Source organism: Homo sapiens, chromosome 7, assembly GCF_000001405.40.
Source record: "Homo sapiens chromosome 7, GRCh38.p14 Primary Assembly".
NCBI lineage: Eukaryota > Metazoa > Chordata > Mammalia > Primates > Hominidae > Homo > Homo sapiens.
In genome coordinates this window covers 95,296,942-95,324,655 of record NC_000007.14, presented here as the reverse complement: position 1 = coordinate 95,324,655, position 27,714 = coordinate 95,296,942, and the positions used below count along the sequence as shown (strand labels likewise).

The following is a 27,714-nucleotide window of genomic DNA, read 5'->3' as shown; positions in this document are numbered from 1 at the left end:
GGGGGCTGACCGCAAGCCACGCCTTCTGTGCACCTGGTCGGCCCAGCTAGCTGCCGACCCGGCGGGGAGGGGCGGGGCGGGCCAATCGGCGCTGCCCCAGCAGGGCTGCGGCTGCAGGCAGGCAGAGCCTCCTAGCCCGTCGGTGTCTGCGCCCATCGATCCCTTTGTCTATCCCCGACCATGGCGAAGCTGATTGCGCTCACCCTCTTGGGGATGGGACTGGCACTCTTCAGGAACCACCAGTCTTCTTACCAGTAAGTTGGGTTGTGGTGAGGGCTGCAGCCTTCGTCCTCCTCACTCCCTGCCAGCTCCACGAGCCCCCAGAAAGTTGGGTCCAGGCTGTTAACAGAACATTTACAAGCAGGTGCTAGATGCACACTCTGCGGGGGTTTCATAAATGTTTGTCCAGCCGTCATGTGTCACTTGAAAACAAACTCTTGCTCATGGCCTGAGACATGGGATAAGGAGGCAATTGCCAGGGGTGTGAGTGCCCAGGTTGTCAGCATACACGAATTAATTTTTCATGAAGATTTGTGTGCCCTGGCTACAGATTCACTTCTCAACCTGGAAAGAAACAAACTAACCTGGCTGGGGGTTCTCCTGATATTTTGTGTATTAGAGAAAGGAGCCCCTGTCGCTTCTGCGCCTTGACTGCCTGGCCATGGCAAACCTTCCAGGCTTGAAGATTCTCAAATTGAGGCTACTGAGGGCCACAGCAAAACTGCGTGTGGACCCGAGCAGGTGGAGCTAACGTGTGCTGTGATGGTTCGCTTCAGTGGGGGCAGGCGGGGAAGAGGGAACCCTGGAGCCAGCATCTGATGTCCTGGGGTTTAGCTCTGCCCCATGAGTATGCGATTTGGGCAAATCACTTTACATCTCTAACCTTAGCTGCTTCAGTAAACTGGAAATAGTAATACACACTGCCTGCGACAGAGTAGCTATTCAATAAATGTTAGTTCCCTGCTTCCCTTTAAAGTATTTAATAAAGGGTTAAGTGCTATACAAGGGGGGTGGGGATATTTTAAGAATGTATCAAAAGTTTCATAACTTTTAACAGGAGTTCAAAGTCTACAGATCATCCTAGTCTCTAAGGCTTAGTCAACAATGCCTTATTTACTTTAAAGTAAAACCTAATAAAAATTAAATATAAAAAAATTATATGAGCTTATGGACTAATTAGAAGCTTACATTCAGAATGGGTTTTTACTATTTATTGTGGATGTTTTTCTAATTTTTTTAAGTTACAGAGTGCAGAAAAAAAGTAAGAAGCAGTTGGTATTCTTGGCTTTTAAATCATGTAAAAATTACAGTTTGTGAGTTTTTATTAATCACAGTGCTGGTGGCTGCCAAAGGAGATTATAGGTATAGATAAAAATATATAGATAAAGGATGGGTTGCTGAGCCTCCTGGAGTGACCCAGACAGAGGAAGGAAGGGAAATTTTACCCACTGTTGGAAACCCCTAAAACCTAGCTACTCAACTGGGTCTGGGGACCAGATGCCTGAGCATCACCTAGGGGCTCCCTGTACAGGCAGAATCTCAAGCCCTACCCCACACTATTGAATCAGAACCAGCGTCATGGAACAAACTCCCTGGGGGATTAGAGATCATGAATCTGCCCCAGGGAGAGAAGGCAAGAGATGATATCATGAGGCCTGCATCAGGAGCAAGCCAAATCCCCAGGATAGATGCATCCTTTTTTCTTCAGACTTGGAGTGTATGTGTGTGCGGCTCACAGGAAGCTATATATGCCTGGGCTGGAGGGAACTTAAGGAAGCACACAAGGGATGCCTCAAGAGATTTCTGAGTTTCCCAGGTGGGAGCAGTACAGAGAAAAGAACTGAGAGAGTTCCCCTAGACCACGAGTCTCCCACCCACGAGTCTCCCACCTTTGTAGTCGGCTGTATGTGCCGCACAAGTCCAGGGAATGCCTTGGATGATGGTAGAAACAGCTCCCCTCCCCTACCCCAACTTGGGCTATGGAATGTTGCAGCATCTGTATGGCAACTTCCTTGTCCCTACATTGCTAATTGCAATACGTGAGTCCACTGAGTTTCCCTTCTCAGAAGGAAACCACAAAGCTAACGTTGGGCCTCTCGATGCATTTCTGCCATTCCATGCTTACTGTAGGCAACACACAGTTGTGGGAAGAGAGTAGTTGTGGATTCCTGATGACCTGGGTTAGATATCATTTCTGCAACTTTCAAGTTATTTTACCACTTTATTCCAGAAAAGTTCCAGCCAGTTTCTCCACCCGAAAATTAGGGGATAATAATACATATTACAGCATATATATATATATATACACACACACACACACACACATACATATATTTATATTTATATAAAACATATAAATAAAACTAAGTATATATATATATATAAAAATCAGGCATATAGCAGATGTCCTGTAAACGTTAGCTTTTATAGCTGTCATATGTGATCTCAAAAATATAGAGTGATACTTGAATATGTATTATAATCATACTTCATTGAAAGTCTGAGATAAGGACAAATAATCCTCCAACCCTCCAGTCTCCCCTATGAATGCAACCAACACCATCTTCTCAGTCTGATGTACTTGCCTAGTATCTCCACAAAACACTTCAGTGGACATCTGCAGAGTACCTTCTCTTTGCAAACGTTGTGTTTCTGCTGGAGGTTATAGGAATGAATAGGTTGCAGTATTCACTCACCAATTTTAAAGTCTACTGGGAGCAAAAGAACAAAAACTGACAGCTGTGAAACTGACAACTATGACAACTATGGTAAGAAAGTTGACAGATGTATATGTGAAGGTTCCTGAGGGTAAACTAAGGAGTTATTAATCCCAATGCAGAAGACTGGAGAAGCTACAAAGCATCATGAGTAGGGGTCTTTCCAGTGGGTAATGGGCTAAAGAGCATTCTAGGTGAAGGGAAAAGTGTGAGCAAATAAAAAGAGGTATGAAAGAAATACAGGGAAGAGTCCTTAGTATCATGACACTTGATTTCAAATCCCAACTCTACCCTCTTAAATAAGCAACCACATGCAATTTACTCAGCCTCTCAGTGCCTCCATTTCCTTACCTACAAAACAGGGTAAATATTCATCTTTTTCTCAAAGGTGGCTAAAAAGATTAAATGAGGAAGTATGTGTGAGAGCCCTTATTGGAGCTTGGCACATAGTAGGCCATGAAAAGCAATTTGAATGAATGAGGCGTGTGTAGTAGCAGAAAATAGACTGATTAGAGTGAATTTGGCCCCAAGAAGAGTTTGAGAATCGATACGGATTTCTTAATGCCTAGGCAAAGATCTCTGCTTTTTTCTGCGAGCAGCCAGCATGTATTTTCACCGAATACTTCTGCCTTGGTTTGGATGTTCGTCCTCTCCAAACCTCGTATTTGATCTCTAATGTTGGAGGTGGGGCCCAATGGGAGGTGTTTGGGTCATGAAGATGGATCCCTCATGAATAGATTAATGACCTCCTTGGGAGTGAGTGAATTCTCACTCTATTCATTTCGAGAGAGCTGGTTGATTGAAAAGAGCCTGGTACCTCTCCCCTCTCTTACATTCTCTCTCATCCCATGATCTCTGTGAGTACTGGCTTCTCTTCATCTTCTGCAATGAGTGGAAGCAGCCAGAGCCCCTCACCAGATGCAGATACCCAATCCTGAACTTTCTAACCATCCAGAATCATAAGCCAAATAAACCTTTTTTCTTTATCAGTTGCTTAGCCTCAGATGTTCCTTTAGAGTGACACAAAGCAGACTCAGACAAGTTCACAGCAAAGGCTGTATGGTTTCTGCGCAGAGTTCAGAGTCTAGTGAATCAGAGATATATCTCAGACATTGACCCTTATCTCTTAGGCCCAGAACATTTGGACTTAAGCCTTTGACAAGATATTTCCTAATAAATTGAAAATGAGGTAGAAAAAATATGAGTTGGATGATAATAACACAGGTGGGTCAATTTTCAGGTGCATCTTCCAGCTTTTAAGCAGTGTTCTCTGTAGATTTTGCCTGGTCAGAGAGCTAAATGTGAGCTTTGTGTTCATACTTGAATTCCAATCCCTGCTCAGCCACTTTATAACTCTGTGGCCTTAGAAAGCCACTTAATCTTGGTCAACTATAACTTAGGGAAAATAACACCTCACGGAGGTGTTTGAGGATTAAACGCGGGCATATACGGTACCTGAACTATAGTAGTAATGATTATCCTGTTGAGATATGACATGTTTGGGCCACAAATTGGAACCCAAATCAACAAGTGCTGACTTAATGCCCCCTTGCCCACCCTGGGCTCCCTTTAACTGTGATTATTCTATGTTTTCCAGGCTAGAGATCATCTTCTATGAGAGAGAAGCCTGAATTAGAATAGGAGCTGACCAGTTCTGCCTTTCTCCATCTTTTGTGAACCCATATGTTTAGTGACCCTTGTGAGTCAGGCAGCATGAGTATTCTTCCCATTGGTTTTGAGTCTAAGAAAAGTGAATTTGACTATCCTTGGTGTTTTTCACAAGTCTTGGCCCATTCAGTGATTTTATGTCCTTGAATCTCTCCTTCCATGCCAGTCTTTGTGTTGTCCTCGGTTATGACCATCACCCTTAACATCTTGTACCTGCCCTTTGGTTCCTTGAGGGCATGCTACAAATATTCACTACACTTTCCCTAGACCAGAGTTTTTTCAAATGGTGGGTAACAAAGTCAATTTAGTAAATAATTACCAACATTTAAAAATAAATAAAACAGAATTGAACAGAAAAGTTATGAATGTATGACACAGATTAGGATGAGTATTGTTTTGTGAAGCTTGATTCAGATGTGTATGTGTATGTGTGTGCATGTGCTGGGTGTTCGCACCATATAAAATACTTTTCCTACTGTGAGTCTCTGTCTGAAAAGTTTGTAAGCCACTGCTTTATCACTTCCCCTTTTATTTCCTTATTGTCAATATTTGCAATTATAATGTCAGATTTTCATTTTGAAAATACCTTTCCCTTTCTTAGGTTATGGGACAGATTCCAACTTTCCTTTGAAGCCTGCTTTCTAAGTTCACATCTATCAATCAGGAAACCACAGTCTCCTCACAGTCCAAGCCTTCATCATCTATTCATTCATCTCTGTATTTCTAGTACCTAGACTGGTGGCTCTTTACTCTGGTTATACGTTGGGACAAACTGTGGCACTTTTACAAAGCAGATTATTAAGAGGCACTCCTTGCCTCTTACGTCAGATTTTTTTAGACAGCGAAAATGATAGCCAGTGGCCTGATGGTAGGAATGTACTCATTTTTTTCTGAATGAATAAATGAAAGATCAATCACCCCCAAATTCCTATCATTTTGTACCACGTCGGTAAGAATTTTATCTAGCGTGTCTGTTCCGCCTGTAGCCCATCCGCCTCCTGTGAGTTCAAGTCATCAGGAGGACAAGTAAATTTCTTAGCCTATCTGAAGCCAAATAAGATTTCTAGGGATATTTGGATAATTGTCACTACTTGCTATGACAATACTGTATCACTAGTTCTCTAAAAAAAAAAAAAAAAGTTTATTGTTTAAATCTCTTGGTTGTGCTAACGTCGTCTGTTTCTTTCAAATGCAGCATCAGTAGCTTCGCTCTGCTCAGGCAGCCGGCTGGCACTTCCTTCTCACATCTGTTCATTTTTCCTTTGTCCTTTACTCAGACATTTTCTATGGTGTTTATGCACTCATATCTAATAAGTCGCTCCTGTGTATGTGTGTGAGTGCACCTGTGTGTGTGAAATGCCTTTTTACATGCAGGCCTTGTGTATGATTTTCTGAAGTTACAAATCCTTTCAACGTACCTGTATTTTTCAAGCACTACATCACAAAGCAGATGCCCAGTCCAGGCTGCGGAGTCAGATTGGGCAGATGAGTAGGAGGCTGCCCATCTGTCAGCAACTCTAAAACATCAATGGAATAAACTGGAACCATGTTGCCATTTACCCGGACTTTCCACCTAGGAGTCCTTACACACTGATGAAATTGCTCCTGTTCCTGCCAAAGTACACAGAGCCCTAGAGAGGATATTATGTATCTCTTATGTGTACCTATCCACCTCTGCTAAATAAAAACTAAATATTGTACCCAGAGTTCCCCACTTGTCTTGCCCTGGCCTTGCCTGGAAAAATTGCAGGAAAAACTCTGGAGTTGAAACTCAGGCAAAGTACAGTGAAGGAGAACTTTTGTGGACTGCCTACCTTTGCAACTTATTATAATTTCTGAATAGTTTTGTGTGTGTTTTATTTCTTTCTCCCCCACAGAACACGACTTAATGCTCTCCGAGAGGTACAACCCGTAGAACTTCCTAACTGTAATTTAGTTAAAGGAATCGGTATGTATGTGAGAGGAAGAAGGGTCTCATTTGAACTTCCGGTATTTTTTTGCTCTTTGTGTGATTAATGTGCCTGTTCAATTCTGTCCAAAAATAAAATTTTGAATCAGGAGAGTCAGTGGTAGTTAATGATAAATACCATGTTGTTTGACTTTTGACTTCACCAACATACTGCCAAGGTGTTGGGAGTTTTGGTTGTTTGTTTTTGTTTGATCAATAGAGCAAAAAAAAAAAAAAGAAAAAAAGAAAAAAGAAAAATAGAATAATGTTTGATTCCATGGCAATCTAACCTGAGGAGATGGCAGAAGAGGGGAGGGAGAGCCAGATAAAGCATTGAATAAAGGTAACTTTTTTTTAGAAAGGCTCTGACAGGACTTTGCAATTACCACAAGGCTTCTCCTTATGCATCTCTCTTTTGATATTGGACAGGAAAATTTTTTCCAGAAGCTCTCAGCAGATTTCCCCTTAGATCTTATTTGTCAGAGCTGGAGGACAGGCTGGTGCCCTAGTTGCAAAGGATGCTGGGAAAGTAATTATCAAGCCTCCAATGTGGGAGGCAGGCCCTGTCAGCAAAGATAAAACGGTAGGAGAATAGCAGCTGGGAGGCAACCAACAAGGAGAGTCCCCGGGCTCAACTCTCCAGCTGGTTCCAACCAACCAGCTTTGTTATTTGAAGACAATTGGTTTGAGATCATGCTTTTGTGTGCTTTGGGTGTTTCTTTTTCTTTCTTTTTTTTTTTTTTTTTTTTGTTCTTTTAGAATTATTCATCTCAGTTGATTAAGGCTCAGGAGGCTAGATCAGATGACTTAGTACCACTAAATTTCACTAGATATCTTATGGTGCGATTGTTTTCTAGAAAAATATGATATTGATATCAAATATCACTGGGTTTTTGAAAAGCAAACTTTCCACTAAGTGTAGAAATACCTATCAAATAGTTCATTTTTCTCTAGATAAATTGAAATGTTAAAAATTTACATGTACTTAAAGTATAACTAACTTGAAGACAGTAATATTTAACCGATGTTTATAATTAGTAGTAAAAATTCATATTCTTGATCACCTAAAATGTATCCCCATTTTAACTCAACTATTTGGAATTTGCTTATATCTTCAATATGGCTTTCCAAGGGTTTAATTGATTTGGAAGTATTAAGTATCAACATATATTTGTAATTTACCTTGTATCTTTAGAAAACAAGTTCTTTTCAAATAATCATGGCTTTTGTACGTTTTGTGAATTTCCATGAACTTTAAGAGGATTCAGTCTTTGAGGAAAAAGCTCTAGTCCATCAATTTAAAACAAATATACTAAGTGTAAATTTTAATTAAACTTGTTAATGAATTAATATATTTTTAATTTCCATATAATCGCATTCATCAATTTGAATAAATGAAAGAATGAATTATTCTGAACCTATTAAAGAAGAGTGATGTATAGCCCCAGTTTCAAGTGAGGTGTGATAAAGAAATGGATCCACATCCTGCAATAATATGAAACAACCTGTACTTTCTGTTCTCTTTTCTGGCAGAAACTGGCTCTGAAGACTTGGAGATACTGCCTAATGGACTGGCTTTCATTAGCTCTGTGAGTGTTTTCTTTCACTTTTCTGTGTTCTAGAACGTTTTCTAGGACTGGCAGTTTAAGTCTTTCACTTAGGCTTTCTGTATACCCATGCCCACTTTCAAATAAAATGAACAGTCATGGTTTAAAAGACAAATTGTGTATGCATTTACACTTGTGCTATAATTATGATCATGCGTGTTCTATGCATATTTGTGTTCTTCGGTCTACATTGAACCATATTACGTTAGCTTCTATTGCAGCAATTTTTTTGTGAGTTCAGTGTATTCAAGAATTGTTTTCCTCTCAATTGTCTATTCCCTAAGCACTTAAAATTGCCATATTCAAATATTTGCTAAATTAAATATACATTTAATGTATACTACTTCACAGGTCATTTCAACTTTCACATTTTTAAACAAATTTCAGAATAAGCCCTTTAATTTAAAATTGTTGATAGGTCCCAATTCCCAATTCCCAAGCTTTGAAGACAGAATCCACCATATTTGCTGAAACTGTCCTGCATATAGATCGCTATGGTAGCTGATATAGTGCAAAACAAAAGAAGTCCACCATCTGGCCTAGGGATCATAACATAACAGAGTTGATAGGAAACGACAGACAATCATCCAGCCATTTAAAAACCTTTGCTACCCCTTGTAATTTACTTAGTCCAGTTTTCTCTTACAAAGATGATAGACTAGTCATCCTGCAAAGCAATGTCTTGCAAACTTTCTTGAGCAACATAAGGTGTATTTCAAGCAAAATCTTATATGGGAACACAATATATAAAACAACAGCTTTATTGTTTTGATTGAAGGCTAAGAAAGGAGTAGTTCCTCTGGCCCACCAAAACTCTGTCTTTGAGATGCTTCCAAGGACCTACCAGGGAACAGTTTAAAAGCCATAAGCAATATTCTCTCTGTATTCCTTGCTTATATCATTGAAGACTATTATTAATTGCCTTTTTGGTCTGCTCTTCCATTTTTGATCTTTCTCATGGGCTGGAAGCTGTAGTGTCGTGCACATATGACTTTGCTGCAGGGGATGAAAGGGTTTGTGTGGGGTGGCCTAGTGGAGCATGTGGCTTCCAGAAGACTTCTCCTGGGGACCCATTACAGAAGCTAACTAAGAGGCTTCCTATGTGGCCATCTGGCTAGCCCTGTGGTTTGGAGCAGTCAACATGAACCCATGGGCCATGCAGCGCCTCTATTAGCATTTGAAGTACTGGTATTGTGCTTGATTTTTCTCCTCCATGGTTTATAAGGGATTAAAGTATCCTGGAATAAAGAGCTTCAACCCCAACAGTCCTGGAAAAATACTTCTGATGGACCTGAATGAAGAAGATCCAACAGTGTTGGAATTGGGGATCACTGGAAGTAAATTTGATGTATCTTCATTTAACCCTCATGGGATTAGCACATTCACAGATGAAGGTAACAATATTTACTATTTATTAAAACCAAAACCAAACTTAAAACAAAAACAGAAAAACATGCCAATAAATGAATTATTTTTTCTCATTCAAACAAAGCATAGTCATGAATAATGTTCTTACTCTGGGTTTTAAACTTACCCTCTATGTTAATTGAACTTTATAGTAAAACCACTTAAATACTTGAGAATGCTAAAATATTTAAGATTTGTAAAGCATCTAATTTTGTAAAATACTAACATTCACATTATCCCTATAATTACCATAATAATAATATCCAGCCCTGATCATTATAGCTTTTCCATTTTAAACGATTTTCAAGACTCGGGCATTTACAGGAACAGATTTTTCTAACCCAAGGCATCTGTAAGCTATAGGTCCAGTGACAGAAAGTCACCATGGTCAGCTTTCTGCCGGTCCCATTATCTTCAATGCCTCCTGTCCGCTGGTTCCTCTGTTCTGTGTTCAAAATGCTCCTCTGCATGTTGGTCCCTTTCAACATAACTTGGTGTCATCCTTTATGTCTTTACTCCCTTTCTCCCTTTCCATTTGCTGTCACTTCCTTGTCTCTGTATTAATTTTCAGCCCCAGTTGCACAATGGTAGCACCTGAAGAGTTTAAAAAGACTCGATGCCCAGCCCCCAGCTTGACAGATTCCAATTCCGTTAGTCTGAGGGAGGCCTGGATCACAGTAGTTGTTAAAAGTTTTTCAGTTGATAAAAATGTCAGGCTAGGGTTAAGAACCACGTTTATACCCATTACCTCCATTTCATCATCAGACGATCCCTCATTCAGTTCCTCTTCTGGACTTTCCCCACTGTGGGTGGCTAAAATTGCTACCTTGAGAATCATCAGTGATGTTCCTACTAACAAATCTCCTCTCTTCCCTTCCTCCCTCTCCTTCCTTCCCTCTTCCCTTCCTTCCTTCCTTCACCTCCTTTTGTTTTTTGTTTTGTTTTGTTTTTGAGATGGAGTCTTGCTCTCTCCCAGGCTGGAGTGCAGTGGCGCAATCTTGGCTCACTGAAAACTTCACCTCCCGGGTTCAAGCAATTCTCCTGCCTCAGCCTCCTGAGTAGCGGGGACCACAGGTGCATGCCGCCATGCCTGGCTGATTTTTCGTATTTTAGTAGAGACGGGGGTTTCACCATGTTGCCCAGGCTGGTCTCGAACTCCTGAGCTCAGGCAATCCTCCCATCTCGGCCTCCCAAAGTGCTGGGATTACAGTTGTGAGCCACCGCGCCCAGCCTACTTCACCTGCTTTTATGCTGTTTACCATTTTCTCATTCACAAAACTTGCTCTTCCCTGATACTGCAGTGCACCTAGCTGTTCCAGTTCTCATCCTACTACAGGTTTTCTCCCCAATTCATTGTTTTGTCACTCATTGCTACTTCCCTGAGCACTACCCCAGAGGTTTGATCTTTTACTTCCTCTATATTTTCTCTATTTTAGAACTTTCAAACCAGTGTCACACTGCCTGCTTTCTAGGAGGACATCCCCAAATAGGGGTATTATTATTCTTCTTCTTTTCATTAGCCCTTCACTTTTAATGCCGCAGGTGCTTACTGGACACTTCTATTTGGATTCCTTTCCTATAGACACTTTAAACTCAAAATGTTGAAAGTGATTTTCCATCCTTTTATCTTTCCTTCTCTTCCCCATGTGAGACACACACACACACACACACACACACACACACACACACATATACATATATATCCCTTTCAATGGACTTTCCACTCATCCACCCATTCATCACCATTATGTTTTATTTTAAAAATATTTTTAAGTACAAAGAAATATAGTGTTTGATGTGTGGATACTTTTTAAAATAAAAATGAGGTAATATTACACAACCCCTTCTATAAATTTCTTCTGCATTAAACACTACATCATGGACTCCTTTATATATAGCACATTTGCAGTTGCTTTGCCAAGGCAGTTCGGGATTCAGTTGTGTGGGAGCACTGTAATATAGCTCATCTGCTAACAAATATTTAGGTTGTTCCCACCTTTATGCTCATTGCAAACAATGCCAAAATAAACTTTCTCGCACATGTATTTTCTGAGACTATATCCTTAGGATACATTTCTAGAAGTAGAATCCACTGCACAAAATGTGAATTCAGGTTTTAATCCTCACTTGAATTTGATTTCCAACACCCTCCTTCCTCAGCTGTATTCAGGGCCTTTGGATTCTTCCTGTCAAATGCCTCTCATGACCTTTCCTGCCTTTTATTGCCAGTGGCATCCTCTTGGTCCAGTCCTTTCTCTCCACATTGCTGGATTACTGCTGTAGCCTCAGCTCATGTTACTCCTTGGTTCAAATACCCCAGTGAGCAAAGCTTGGATCTTCATCTTAAGCCCTAACAAGACTGATTCTGGCTCCCTGTGGTTTCAGCCCTCTCACTCTCCCACTCTCTCTTGCCTTCACTCTGCTCCCAGCACAACCTCACAATTAAGTGAATATGTCCAGGAAGTTCTGCCCCGGGGCCTTTGCACACTCCCAGCACAACCTCACTATTAAGTGAATATGTCCCGGAAGTTCTGCCCCGGGGCCTTTGCACACTCCCAGCACAACCTCACTATTAAGTGAATATGTCCAGGAAGTTCTGCCCCAGGGCCTTTGCACACTTTCTCCCCTCAACCTGGAATGCTCTTTCCCTAGATATCCACATTATTCGTTCTCTTATTTCACTTAGGTTTTTGCTCTAACATCCCCTCATCAGAGAGAACATGCCTGACTCCCATGAAGATAATACTTCGTTACTCTCTATTCTTTTATCCTGTTGTATTTTTCCTTTGTAGCATTTAACGCCAACTAAAATAAATTAAACACTTGTTTGCTGAATGGGGTAATGAAAATCATTTTAGCAGCTTTCTCTGTTCAAATCTTCTCAATTCAACCTGCCAAATTTTGCATCTTAACATGGTGAAACCCCATCTCTACTAAAAACACAAAAATTAGCCAGGCATGGTGGTGGGCACCTGTAATCCCAGCTACTTGGGAGGCTGAGGCAGGAGAATCGCTTGAACCTGGGAGGCGGAGGTTGCAGTGAGCCGAGATGGCGCCATTGCACTCCAGCCTGGGCAACAGGAGTGAAACTCCGTCTCAAAAACAAAACAAAACAAAACAAAAACGCCAATTTGATCATGTCAGAGGTTTCAAAAGACCTACTCTTTCTTAAGGCAAAGACCATAATCTAACTTTTACTTGCCAGCTCTGATCACACATTCTTGACCGCTTAGACTGGTCACCTTTGTGTTCTTAAAGTCCCACTTATCCAAGGAAGCTGCTTCTGTTTGTTTGCTACTATTTCTCAGATGTTCTTCTATGGAATGTATCATCTCACACTGTGTAAATTACACCTGATCACACCTTCTCATATTGGGAGTTCCCATGGTTTTTATCCCTTTCATCGCAACTGTGCATTTCGTGGAGACCATTTGAACTGGAAAACTTAAAGGATTCTTTGGAGTTTTAGTGTCAGTGATACTCATTCTTGAGAATTTTTTTTTCTCCTGTGGAGTTTTGAGTTTTCAGAGACTGTCACTGGTTCTTCCTTGAGCCACTTTTGTTTGGAACAGGAGCAATCACCAATGCTTCTCTCTACAAAGAGATGAAAATATTCCATCTGCCTGACATCCTAACTACTAGCTGGAGGTGGGTTGAAATTGGTTTTTGGAGAGAGGGCTGACAGTGAGAGCTTAGTTAATGTTTCATTTTTGTTTTTAATCTCCTCTCAGATAATGCCATGTACCTCCTGGTGGTGAACCATCCAGATGCCAAGTCCACAGTGGAGTTGTTTAAATTTCAAGAAGAAGAAAAATCGCTTTTGCATCTAAAAACCATCAGACATAAACTTCTGCCTAAGTACTGAGATATATCACATTTCTATTTTCCTTTAGCTGTAGCGGATAGTTAATCCACTTTTAGTTTTTCCTTTTGGCCAGAGTAGGTATGGCTGTTCAACTCTCATTTCTAATGATCACAAACTCCTCCACATGCTCTTCTGAAGAACCTTCTGAGGACTCAAGCCCCTCAGAGACGGCCCATTCTTTTCCTCTCTTGTTTCTCGAGCTGATTGGATGCTGGCTCCTGGCCTCAGGATCTCCATTCAAGTTATTACCAGGAAAAAAATCCTCTTCTTCAGAACCAGACTTAGTATTTCAAACCCAAACCGGCTTCATAGATAAATTTGACATCATGAGCTTATTTATTTATATTAAAAAGTAGACTCTTAGATGTTTCCATGAATTAGAAACACAGACCCAAGAGGAGACCCTGAATCAAGTGCATCTAAGACCTCCTTATACTGCCTCCGCTGCTGTTTGATTGCACAAAATTTATGCAATAGCAGATCTGTGGTAACACTCAATTCCCCCTAGGCACCTTGTTCATGTAACATATGGTGAAATAAAACACTCAAGAATCTCCAATCTCAGTCAACTTCCTCACATGCCCTGTGAAGATTTGGCTTGTAAGGCCAGTGATGGATTTAGGAGAACAATCCGACTCTATCTTCTGAAACATTTACCTCCAACTGATTACGATTTTCTAGAATCCCAACCTATTTTTATATAATTTATGTACAGCATTTGACTACCTCCATATCTGTAAATCTAGATTTGTACTCTTTGCAGGTACCTAGCTAAGGGCCTGGTATGTAGTGTGCACTCTGTGTTACCAGGACCCCTTCCTCTTCTTTCTTATCTGGTGGTTTGAGGATGAGGAAAATGAGATTGGAGAGAAATTGAGTTACTGGATGAAGGCCAATCAACTCACTAGTGGCCAAGTAGGAACCCCAGCTCAGGTCATCTTCTGCCCCATCAAGATGAATAAAAGTTCAGAGAACAGCTTTTGGTGGAAGAGTTTATTCGTGCATTTATTTAACAAATATATTTTGGAGAGAGAATAAGGTCACTGAGTGGAGAATGTGAGGAACACCAAGATTTAAAGTAGAGAACAGTATGTAGAATGGAGAAGCTGGGCAAATGATAACACTAATAAATGAGCTTTCTCTGTAAGTCAGGTGCTACACTAACTAATTCAAACAGATTATTTTATTGATGTTTTACAAATACCTTCTGAATTAGGTGTTATTATTATATCCATTTTGGATTTTTAAAAAGTTGAGGCCTGGACTAATTGTTAAGTTTCCCCAGATGACATCATCAGTAAATGGTGCAGCTGTGATTCTAATCCTGGTAACATGAGTTCAGAGCTGGTGCTTTAAACCTCTACAAAATAGTGAAAAAAATTATGTGTTTTAACATTTAATCTTGGAAATCTCAGATTGGTCTACGTTACCGGATTGGAGTATTTTTTTCTTGAGCCAGTTGCAAAAATATTGGTCTTAGGCAGCATTGGAGACTGAAAATAACCACGGTGCCGTAATTAACTAGAGTTCTGCTCTCTCAATCCAAGGATTAGCTGTGTGTATTTTCTTCTTTGTATTTTATGGTTTTTTATAACATTAATATTCCAATAACTAAATCTATTATAATTTAAACTTGTTATTATTCATATATCACAACTGTTATTATTGGTCATTTACTGTATGCCAGGCATGGTGTGAAGGCCTTTGCATTCATTATTTCATTGTATTCTTACTCTAGCCTTTCAAGGTATACAGAGAAAACAGAGGTTCAGAATAGTGGCTCAAAATTTAGTGACAATGCTGTGGCCCCACATTATAAGGATAGCAAGCAGTGTCAGGATGCAAATGAAGTCCATCAGATTTCAAAGCTATTACTCTATTACCCTTTAAAAATTTGTTATTTATTTACTTATTTTACTACACCTGGGGGTAGTAAATTTTCAGCAATAAAAAGCTATTGCTCTAAACCATTCCACTCTGCCCCTTTCTGTGAAAAACAGACAAATGATAGTCCAGCATACTAATTTAAGAAATTTACTTTTAAAAAAGAGAGAGTAAAATCAGATTGTAGATTTATGTCTGGAGCCCATCCAGACTAATCCTAAATTCCGAGACCTTTTTTTTTTTTTCATGTTGTAATAGTGGCTAGCATTGATTGAGGGTTTATTGAATGTCATGCTCCCTGCAAAGCACACAACAGGCATTGTCTCATTGTAATTCCCACTGCAACTCCACAAATTAAGATCCTGACCCTTAGTTTTCTACTAATGAGCTGTATGATTTTGAGAATATCATTTAACCTCTCTTTACAGATGAGAAAACTGAGGCTCTGCATGCCTGTCTAACTTGCCTGAGAGCTCAGAGCTGCGTCAGAGCTGATGCGCTGGCCATGACGCCTCTGCAATAGAGCAGAGATAATTTTCTCCCAGATCATGCCCTGGGGAACTTCCATCACCTCAATCAGCAAAGAATGACTCACTTATGTGTTCCCTATTGTATCCATTAAAGCAGAAAAATAGACTCATATATCTTACATTTTCAGTAACAGAGAATCCTAATCAGAAAGGAAAAAAAAAAAGCCATAGCATTCTATTTCTGAGCATTCTTGTTCATGGACATTTCATTCAGTTTAGAATCACGAAATCTTAAGGCTGGAAGATCAACCAGTCTATCATCCTGCTTTCACAGATAAGAAAACTGAGGTCCTGACATGTGAAAAGATTGATTTTTCTTAGATCACACAGCTAATAGTAGCAGAGCTTAAACTAAAATGCAAGTATCCAGGCTGCTGGTTCAGCATTTTTTCAATTTCTTATGGGAGTTAGTTCTATGTGAGCCCAGATATGTGAGCACATTTTTGCCCTGACAATGATTTCTGGCTTAATTTAATTTCTACTGAATTTAGTGTATTTACACACAGACACACACAGATACACACACACACACACACACACACACACACACACACGACGTAACACTATTTTAAGATACATATAATAGGATTTTTATGTTACAGTGCTATAATCACCTCCTCAGATTTCTTAGACCAATGATTGTCTAAGGATTGTATCGGCAGGACTAATTTCATATTAATTGTGTTCCATTATAGCTAGCACGAAGGCTCCATCCCACATCTTGATTTTAGGAATAGACAGTGAGGAATGCCAGTTAATAATCCTGTAATGTTCAATACCTTCACCTTATATATTATGTGTGTATGTTTTAATTGCAGTTTGAATGATATTGTTGCTGTGGGACCTGAGCACTTTTATGGCACAAATGATCACTATTTTCTTGACCCCTACTTACAATCCTGGGAGATGTATTTGGGTTTAGCGTGGTCGTATGTTGTCTACTATAGTCCAAGTGAAGTTCGAGTGGTGGCAGAAGGATTTGATTTTGCTAATGGAATCAACATTTCACCCGATGGCAAGTATGTGAACTCTCTGAAATGTAGTGGATTTACTCAGATTCTCAGGAGATATCTTGGAATATATTCTTTTTTTAAGTAATATGATACATTTTAACATGTTACCCTAGTGAGATAAAATTAGGAAAAATGTAAAATGTCTTAATTTTTCAGGGGGTGAAATTTATCAAATCAAAAATTTCATTGTGAAGGCATACTGGTTTTATTTCCTTTTTGGAAAGAAAGTACATTTTAAGAGGGGGAACTGTGATGAAGATTTGATATGTCTGAATAGCTTTGTTTTGAGTAAAGATGTGAGTGTATAATGAGTTGAATAGTATGCAGGTATAGATACGTCAGTAGTGCAGGTTTATGACAAGATGAGGAATTTGTACCAAAATGTAAATCAAGGCAATACTTCCTTCATCAAGAAAGTATTACTGTGAAAAACAAGTCAGTTTAACTAAGCAGTGTGCTTAGTGATGTATTTGATTTATAATGTTATCTCATGGTGAGCTATAACAAACAATTTGCAAACCAACATTGGTCTGGAGACTGCATTTTGGGTAGCATTGGTATATACATGAAATATCTATATCCATCCACATATATGCCCTTTCTCATCTTGTGTCATCATCAAGGATTTTAGAGTCCGTAACATATGCTTAGAGAAAGCAACAGGGGCCAGGTGTGGTGGTTCATGCCTGTAATCCTAGCACTTCGGGAGGCCAAGGTGGGTGGATCACCTGAGGTCATAGACCAGCCTGGCCATCATGGCGAAACCCCATCTCTACTAAAAATACAAAAATTAGCCAGGCGTGGTGGCGCACTCCTGTAATCCCAGCTACCAGGGAGGCCAGGCAGGAGAATTGCTTGAACCTGGGAGGTGGAGGTTGCAGTGAGCTGAGATTGCACCACTGCACTCCAGCGTGGGTGACAGAGCAAGACTCTGTTTTTTTTTAAAAAAAAAAAAAAGAAAGAAAGAAAGAAAAGAAAAAGCAAGCAAGCAAGCAAGTGAGAGCAACAGGGACAGGGACAGCTTTTAATTATTCATATCATAGACCAGTTTTCAAAAAATAGAAGATAATTGAGCAGTAATTTCTTTTTTTTGTTGGGGGGATGCACAGTGCTTAGACTAACCCCAGATCTTTGTGGGGTATGACTAAAGCCACAGGGTCAGGACCACACTCAGGGCAGAAGAGGAGGAAGACTTCTCTTGATCCAAGCCAAGCAGCTTTTCTTCTCTCATATTTTCTCTGGATTAAAACAAGGGGCTGTTGTCCAAGGGCTTTCCTGCAACTTTCCCGAGAGAGAACTCACTAGCCCCTGAAATGCAGAACCTGGGCCTTGACACTAAATTGTCAAACCAAAAGAGAAACGCTGTAATGCATTTTACTCCCAGATACTAAAAGTTAGTGTTAGGGCTAAGTTCCTCCCATACTGATAAGGACAACTATGTCCCCTCCTTCAGAAACAACTTTTCAGAGATTAAACCCCTCTGTCACTGTAAACTCACTGAGTTCTTTCAGAATTTGGTGTGTTTGAGGTGGGTTCCATTTTCCATTCCTTAAGCAAAGTTCTTCCCTATGAATAGGTATTACAACTTCATCTTAATCTCTCAAGTTGTGTTACTTCTAGTACTTTGATGTAGCTCTTTCTTCTTTGAAGGTATGTCTATATAGCTGAGTTGCTGGCTCATAAGATTCATGTGTATGAAAAGCATGCTAATTGGACTTTAACTCCATTGAAGGTAAGACGTATTAACACTGTAAGTCTGCAGAGTGATAATTAGATTCTAATTGATTTGTGAAATTAAATGTGAAGAAAAAAGGACTGCTTAATTGGGGTGGGTGAGAACCAATTTTTCACTCCTTTATTAAGAGTCATTAGCTTGGTTATGTGTTTGTTGTTCATTTTTACTCAACTGCAGAGTGGCAAACAGCAAACCCCACCTCTTACCCGTGAACCTTGCATTCTTTCTGCTCTAGCAAATTTTAAGCTTGGCATTGTGTTCCCAGATCCTCCTTCCATCCCTCCCTTCCTGCCTTTCTTCTGATCTCCCTCTCCTCCACCTTCCTTCCCTCTCCTCCCTTTTCTTTCTCTTTTTTCCTCTATGTTGATGGAACAGCCAAGAAATAGCCTCAAATTGTACTTTATGCAGGGCTGCTCTCCACAATGTTTATGAAGTCCACGTGCTCACGATGGCTGCTAGGTGACCTGGCTGCCCCTCACCTCTCTGCCTTTACCTCCAACCATTGTGTCCCTGCCCCACGTCTCCTGCCACTGTCTCAGAACGGGGCACCATTCCCTCTGCTAGGAGGAGAAACCTTCCTCCAGATCTCCATGACCCCCTCCTTCATCTCCTTTCATTTTTACTAAAACGTCACCTCGATCTTCAAAACCTGGAACTGCTCCCTCCCGCTACGTATTTTCCCTCGCCTTTCCTGCTTTATTTTTCCATTCAGCACGTATTGCTAACATACTATATATTTTATTCATACCCTTTATTACCTGATTCCCCAACTAGGGTGTAAGCTCCACAAGGACAGGCTGTTTTTCTATTTGCTTCTGGTACAATTCACATTGACTAGTTGGCACTTAACAAATACTTGTTAAATTACTGCGGTGGGGCTGGGCATGCTTCAGGGATTCACCTGCTGCCCCCACCAATTCTGGTCATCTGAAGGTTGGAGTCAAAATGGGTGAAAACACAAAGGAGAGGAAAAAGAGACCAAGAGCAAACTAGAGCCCTAAGAAAGCAGCCCTCTACCTCCGAAAAACAGCAAGACGTTGCTTTCCTGCCATAAACGCCCACTGCAGGAAGCACTGTCAGCGCCAATTGTATGACTGTTCCTGTCAGCACATCTGAGAGACTGTCATGAGGGGCCTCACTCAGAGAAAATTACCTTAAAGCAACATCAAATGTAACATCGTGTTTGACATTAAAAATCACTGGCAGGGCTAGTTTGGTATTAGCTCAAGTAAAATGGAATTTCACACGCTCATACTGGCTAAGGGAATAAAAAACAAGCTGCGGTTTTAACAACAGGTATTTCTGTAAAACAAAAGTTAAAGAATTTTATGAGAATAGAACCCAATGTAACAGACATTCACCACAGAATGTCAAGGCTCTGCTCTCACCAGGGTGAGACTGAGGGCAAGGCCAGTTTCAGCAACAGACCAGGCCTGTCTCCCATCATGAAAACCCCAAAAAGGTTCTCCATCAATTGTCACATTATTCTTTCTTTTGAAAGACCGTATTAATTAATATCAGTTAATTAATGCCCGAGAGTGCCAAGTAATTTGATAAACTAGCTGAGGCTATTCTTAAATTTGTGATGAGGTGTGGATGGGTTTATGTCCAATTGGATATTGTTCAGCCTTAAAAAGGAATGAAGTTCTTGGCCGGGTGCGGTGGCTCACACCTGTAATCCCAGCACTGTGGGAGGCTGAGGTGGGTGGATCACGAGGTCAAGAGTTCAAGACCAGCCTGGCCAATATGGTGAAACCCCGTCTCTACTAAAGGTACAAAAAATTAGCCAGACATGGTGGCACATGCCTATAATCCCAGCTACCTGGGAGACTGAGGCAGGAGAATCACTTGAACCTGGGAGGCGGAGGTTGCAGTGAGCTGAGATCACACCATTGTACTCCAGTCTGGGCAACAAGAGCAAAACGCCATCTAAAAAAAAAAAAAAAAAAAAAAAGGAATGAAGTTCTGATACCTGCTACAACATGGATAAGCCTTGAAAAACATGATGCTAAATGACATAAGCCAGCAACAAAAGGATAAATATTGTACGATTTACTAATAGGAAGTACCTAGAACAGGCAAATTCATGGAGACAGAAAATAGAATAGAATGGTGATTGCTAGGAACTTGGGGGAGAGAAGAATAGGGAGCTATTGTTTAATGGGTACAGGATTTCTATTTGGGGCTGATTAAAAGTTCTGGAGAGGGATGGTGATGATGGTTGCACAACATTGTGAATATACTTAATGCCACTGAGTTTTACACTTAAAAATGGTTAAAATGTCAAATTTTTATATATTTTACCACGATAGAAATAATTCTCTCCTCTCTCCAAAAAAAGATTCCAGGACTTAGTCAATGAATTAGTCACACTTCAATGAACCTCAATGCGCAAAAACCTGGAATATTTGTTAACAGAGAATACTCTGTTTTTCCCAAAGAGAATAATTTATTATGTTTTCTTGACCAAGGAATGCGAATTTTTCGAGTTGCCTTTGTGGGAGTGTGAGATGTGATACGCAGGGGTCTTGCATGAGTTAGCATGGAGAGGAATTATTTATTTGCAAGGCAAAGAGTTCATTGCTGGACTCAGAACAGGCTCCCTGCTAGACTGTCAGCACTTCCATGGCATGAGCTGTGTCTGCTGGGTACCTGGTGCTCTCCAGGTGTTGCGTTCCTTGCAGAGCTCATGTAGGAGCTCAGTAATTGTGTCTTGAATGAATGGGACCCCAGGTTTCTGTGTCCTTCTCCCACTCCCACTCTCATCTCAGGTTTCATCTGCCGTGGAATTCACCAATTGGCTGTACTGCTTCCAAAGATAAGAGCAAAGCCCTGAAACAAACATTTTCCTCATTCAAAGACATTATGGTATCAGAGTGGTGTGCTGACACTGGGATGGACAGGGGTTTAGGGATGGAGAAAGCAAGCATGGAGCCGCCTGTCTTGCCTGTCTCTGGGGTAAGAAAGACTGATGGCTCTGCATGGTGGCGAGACTGAGGCTCTGCCATGATGCTTGAGCCCTCTAATCCCTCCTTGGGCATGTGAGGAACAGCTCTCATTTTGAGTAGGAGGCACAGGGAAACGTTGGTTTTCTGCAGCTGTCTGCTTATGCCCTGGCTTTTTCAATGAGTCATGACCAGTTATTTACAGGTTCTCTGGGCACTGAGGTATGCTGGCCTCTGAGGTACATGGTAGATATTATTTCTCCAACTGAGAATTAGAGGTAAACAAATAGATGGGATTTCTCCCCAGTAGAAGGCAGCCAAGATGATGAATGGTGGAATTAAGAATCATTGGTATTATTTATGATCCTTGTACAAAGCCTCGACAGCAATCTGTGCAGTCATCAAATGCTTGCAACTTATATTTAGAGAATAAACAGCAGAAGAACGGGGAGTTGAACAACATCAGGAAACTAAAGAACAAACTTTTCCTCAACTACAAGGCAAAAATGAGACCCTGGGTGATCATTTCTTCTCTGGCTGCACAGCCTATGATTAGCCATTAAAGAGTCCACATTTCATTGATATTCTTCTGAGAAAGAATCTACATTTCCTGGTTGTTTTCTGAATGCTTATAAAAATATCATTACCACATGCCATTTTAGAAGGAGATGTTTTATGATGCACCGAAAACTTCTTTTTTTTTTCAGTTTTAGGTTCATGCACAGATGTTGGTACAAATGATTTTGTCTAACTTTTAACAGTCTTTCTTGGCTTTCTGTATCTTCACCCTACCCAATTCTGCCCTGGAAACTGACAAAATACTAGCATAGATGAAAGGTCAGAGAAATTTTGTGAGTCTTATTGAAATGGGGCAGAATTGTATCCTTGGAAGCAGCAGCGTGGTGACCAAGGACAAGAGGCAACTTTTCTCTGATATATTTTGCTCCATCACAATTGTGTTTTACTTTATGTCTTGTTCTTTTCTTGTTTTTAATCTTTTAAGTCCCTTGACTTTAATACCCTCGTGGATAACATATCTGTGGATCCTGAGACAGGAGACCTTTGGGTTGGATGCCATCCCAATGGCATGAAAATCTTCTTCTATGACTCAGAGAATCCTCCTGCATCAGAGGTAAGTTTTAAAAATGAACCAGATAAGTGACTTTATTCCCAGCTACTGTTTTTTCAGTTGACAACATAATTCTCAATTCTTGGTTTTTTTTTTTTTTTTTTTTTTTTTGTGACAGAGTATCGCTCTGTCGCCCAGGCTGGAGTGCAGTGGCGCAATCTTGGCTCACTGCAAGCTCCGCCTCCCGGGTTCACACCATTCTCCTGCCTCAGCCTCCCAAGTAGTTGGGACCACAGGCGCATGCCACCATGCCTGGCTAATTTTTTGTATTTTTTTTTTTTTTTAGTAGAGACAGGGTTTCATCCTGTTGGCCAGGATGGTCTTGATCTGCTGACCTTGTGATCCACCCGCCTCGGCCTCCCAAAGTGCCGGGATTACAGGCGTGAGCCACCGTGCCCGGCCAATTCTCAATTCTATGTGCAAATAAAAGGGGGGACATGGATAGATGATCCAAATGATCAGAAATGAAGGCTTTTGGAGGTGCTTTAGTCAGAGTCTAGGCAAGAAACACATGGCACACTTAAATTGGATAATTTGAGGGGAGTTTAATCAACGGACTATACACAAAATGTGTGGACACAGTGTAGGGTAATCAACAGAGTTATAATGCAGTACCCCAGGGCTAGCAAGGGAGGGAGGAAATGAATACCAGAAGCCAGAACAGGTAGACGGTGGTGGGTGGAGAGGGTTGCCTGACAGGAACTTGGCCTCTGGTTAAGGGATCCTCAAAGAACATAATGATGCCATACTGCTATGGTTTAATCATTCATTACCTGCCTTCCTATTCAACTCCCCCTTCCTGTGTGGCGGTATACGCACAGGTCCATGCAATGGACCAGTCCTGGAGCACACTGGCCAGCCTCTCTAGATCTTCCTGCAGGTGGCAAGATAAATAGCTGGAATTATTCTGGCTTAGAAGATCTCATCTTCCACCTTAGTTACAGTACTCAAAGGTCCCATTTTTTGTCCACGGTCTTTATTCAGTGAACTATTTTGGGTACAAGTAAGAATTTGCAACCTACTTCAATATAGGTATTTGCACATTTACTGAGTTTTCAGTATCTACTAAGGATACTTATTACTTACATCATATATATGATATCATCTTGACATATTTGTCTACTGCTGTGTATTGTTAAAGCTCAGTTTTAAGAGTCCATTTCACCTGCCCAACAGGAAAAAAAAAAGTGTTAAAGCCCGTATCTCTTGGGTTAAAAAAAAAAGAAACAAATGTGTATTTCCATTTACATTATGGCTCTCTTACCTTTTATCTCTAGGTTTGCAGGACAATTGTGATCATGTTTAATGGCAACCCTTTGTGCCTTTTGCTAGTTTTTAGCTATTAGGGTTGCTGAATGGTATGTTTAATAGAATTGAAGAAATGTATGCTGTGGAGTGTTCAGTGCTCAGAACTGAGCAGAATGTTAGATTCTAATTTGTTCTTGCTTGTTAGCTCATTTAGTAACCTTGGGTCATTTGCTATAGCATGGACTTGGTTTGTTGTTCTGGAGAAAATACTTCATTTCTAATGATTGATCTGCAAAGGAGTAGCAAAAAGTAGTAACAATTCCTTATCCAATGCACTGCCCCTAGATGAGTGATTTAGTTTTATTAACAAGAAGCTTAGCTAAGCCAAGGTGTACCATCAACTATTTCCCTGTAACTACTACATGTTAATGCTATGGCAACTTCCTAAGACATCTGTCTTTGGTGCCAGCTGTTTTTAAGAGGTCATTTTGAACGTTCCCACAGACCCTTTTATATCCACGCAGTGGCCTTCACCGTCTGCCACATTTGTGATGTAGATATCCTTTCTTCAAGTCATTATATATTATCATAAAGGCTTAATAATAGAAAGCTAGAGCTGAAGGGGAATTTAGAGATAATCTAGTCCCACCCATTTCATTCTACAGATGAGAAACAAATGTGAGTGGAAGATCCAAGACATGACCCAGGTCTCCCACCTCAGTGTAGTGCTTTTCATACTAAGTTGAATCACACGCTATTGCTATTTTTTACAGTCAGAATGATCAGATATTGGCTATTTCATATGGTTGGCTTAACATGATACTACACTGTTATTATTGATACAATCACATTTCTCCTCAATTAAGTGAAGGAAACTGAACTTACAAAATCTTATACATTTAGAGACAGGAGGTTAAGTTCAGAACACATGAGTATGGTACACAGATATGGTTTTTTGAGGGCCACATTTTTTTTCTTGTCTGCATTTTAAAAACCAGGAATTAAGTGTAAACATCCAGTTAGTTCCCTGGCTTACCTGAAAATACATGAAAACGGACCTTAATTACTGCATGGCAACAGTTTGGCTATTGCTGAGTGTATTAGTCAAGGTTCCCTAGAGGGACAGAACTAATAGGATATATATATATGTAAAGGGGGTTTATTAAGTATTAACTTACCTGATCACAAGATCCCACAGTAGGCGGTCTGCAAGCCTGAGGAGCAAGGAGAGCCAGTCTGAGTCTCAAAACTGAAGAATTTGGAGTCTGATGTTTGAGGGCAGGAAGCATCAGCATGGGAGAAAGATGTAGGCTGGGAGGGTAGGCCAGTCTCTCCTCTTCATGTTTTTCTGCCTGCTTTATATTCGCTGGCAGCTGATTAGATTGTGCCCACCCAGATTAAGGGTGGGTCTGCCTTTTGCAGCCCACTGACTCAAATGTTAATCTCCTTTGGCAACACGCTCACAGACACCCAGGATCAATACTTTGCATCCTTCAATCCAATCAAGTTGACTCTCAGTATTAACTATCATACTGAGTAACAGCTTCCTCCCTCCACATTTACTGAAATCCCCACTGCTCCCTAATGTCCCACATCCAGGATGCGCTGCTCATTTGCATTTCCTGCCTCATCCCTGTAGGTCTAGATACTCTCCACCTCTGCTAAAGATCACTTGAGATCAGTACCCACCTGTTCCCAAATGAAGAAACAGGTGTGTTAAGTGTAATTTTGGAACAAAATAGGATTTATCTCATTGTATAAGATTATATGGCTTCTTATGGAGGATGACCCTATTATGCATAAGGTTGTTTTAAGTGACTTAACAAAAATATTAACCCAATGTTATTTCTTCCACAGGTGCTTCGAATCCAGAACATTCTAACAGAAGAACCTAAAGTGACACAGGTTTATGCAGAAAATGGCACAGTGTTGCAAGGCAGTACAGTTGCCTCTGTGTACAAAGGGAAACTGCTGATTGGCACAGTGTTTCACAAAGCTCTTTACTGTGAGCTCTAACAGACCGATTTGCACCCATGCCATAGAAACTGAGGCCATTATTTCAACCGCTTGCCATATTCCGAGGACCCAGTGTTCTTAGCTGAACAATGAATGCTGACCCTAAATGTGGACATCATGAAGCATCAAAGCACTGTTTAACTGGGAGTGATATGATGTGTAGGGCTTTTTTTTGAGAATACACTATCAAATCAGTCTTGGAATACTTGAAAACCTCATTTACCATAAAAATCCTTCTCACTAAAATGGATAAATCAGTTATGTCAATTGTCAGATATTAAATAACAGTGTGTGACCCCAAAAGTACTTACCCTAAAACATGTGTTGCCTGGAAGCACATGTGTGTATCGCTGCCTTGCCATGTCTTGTTCAGAAGACACAGGGGAGCAGGGTTAGCTCACGTGTCTTTAGAACTCCAGTACTCACCCAGGGACTCCAGTTCACAGGCCAGAAAACATATGCATTATGAAGTTCCCCTCTACTCCATGCACATAGTAAGTCTGACTATGGCAGTCAGACTTACTTACTCCCATTTTCCCTTCGATATATGACTTTTTCTCAGTAAATATTAACCTGAATTATTCCAACTCCCCTTGTACTCTTGCTTTTTCAATTCTCCTGTTGCAATGACACATAGGAAAATCTTAAAATTCTTGGGAGTGTTGTCACACCTGAAAATTATGAGTCTCTATGATCTTGGCACAAATTGTACATTTGAGTGTCTTTGACTTGGTTAAAGGAAGTTTGTTCACTTCGATGACTGGATACAGAATGAATCCCATAATTGACATGGGCGAAGCTAAAAGTGTCCCCAAAGACTACACTGTTGTTGAGGTGGTGGTAGTGCTGGTGGGTTTTTGTTTAATATTTAAACTTCTTGTTGTGGAGGCTGAAAAGAAAAAAAATAATAGAAAGGTAAACAAACAAATAAATAGAAAAGATCAACAACCCCTTTGGCTATCTACTGAGACATGACTAGGAAGAAAACATGACTTTATCATTTTGTTATAGAAACTGATATATAAAGGTTACACATTTTCATTTATTTGTTTTTCTGATTTGAAGGTATAACCTTCATGATGAATTACTTCTTCAGGGTGTTAAGGCAGTGACTTTAGAAACAAATTTTTTTCTTGTTTTTGTTTTGTTTTTGAGACCGAATCTCACTCTGTTGCCCAGGCTGGAGTGCAGTGGTGCGATCTTGGCTCACTGCAACTTCTACCTCCGAGGTTCAAGAGATTCTTGTGCCTCAGCCTCCCGGATAGCTGGGACTACAGGCACACACCACCATGCCCGGCTAATTTTTGTATTTTTAGTAGAGACGGGGTTTCACCATGTTGGCCAGCCTGGTCTCGAACACCTGACCTCAGGTGATCCACCCGCCTTGGCCTTCCAAAGTGCTGGGATTACAGGTGCGAGCCACCACACCCAGCCAGAAACGAAGTTTTTCTAAGGCACTTGTTATGATGATAGTCTGGCATTTCCGGGAAAATGTTTTGCCAATAAATTGAGAACCACCAACAGTTGTTTAAGAATCACTGACTTGAAGTAATAAACAGGAACATTTTGTTTGGGTCAAAAAACCACTTTATTCACAGCAAGATTGGAGTTACTCATGATTCCAGTGACATAATATCCCGTGCCCTACATGGGCTCAATTTTTCTGAGATGCTGCTCACAGCCCAGGATGCTGGGTTCTCTGAAAGACTGTCTTGAAATTATCAATGAGTGTGATGCTTAGGGAACACCCCCAACATATTTCATTATTTAGAAAGAAAGAATTTCCTGAGTAGTTAGGCTCCCTAACATCTTCAATAAAATGACCACATTCTGTTCTTTCTTGTTCTTGATGATAGATAAGCAAATTCCACTGAAGAAACAAAAGCCTATCCAATTTGACACAGCACATACTCAAGATCACTCAAAAAGGGACATGGCTTGGTTAGAAATTTCATAACATACATTGTGAAAAAGAGGAAAACAGCTTAATTCATGTATTCTG

The 27,714-nt window shown here is 40.5% G+C and overlaps 1 protein-coding gene across 1 annotated transcript, besides 1 other annotated feature; it reads left to right on the top strand.

The window, feature by feature from the left end:
- Positions 1-180: a silencer, noted in NCBI's record as "silent region_18382". NCBI's record gives its function as "represses an Ori minimal core promoter by ATAC-STARR-seq in GM12878 lymphoblastoid cells {active_cell/tissue: GM12878}" and the evidence as "EXISTENCE:reporter gene assay evidence [ECO:0000049][PMID:35858748]".
- PON1 (paraoxonase 1) lies at positions 124-26,980 on the top strand. Its single transcript, NM_000446.7, has 9 exons — positions 124-254; positions 6,263-6,333; positions 7,867-7,922; positions 9,166-9,334; positions 13,079-13,205; positions 16,445-16,645; positions 18,290-18,371; positions 22,323-22,451; positions 25,554-26,980. Exons 1-9 carry the CDS (start codon positions 181-183, stop codon positions 25,710-25,712), a joined length of 1,068 nt encoding a protein of 355 aa, NP_000437.3. The 5' UTR covers positions 124-180; the 3' UTR covers positions 25,713-26,980.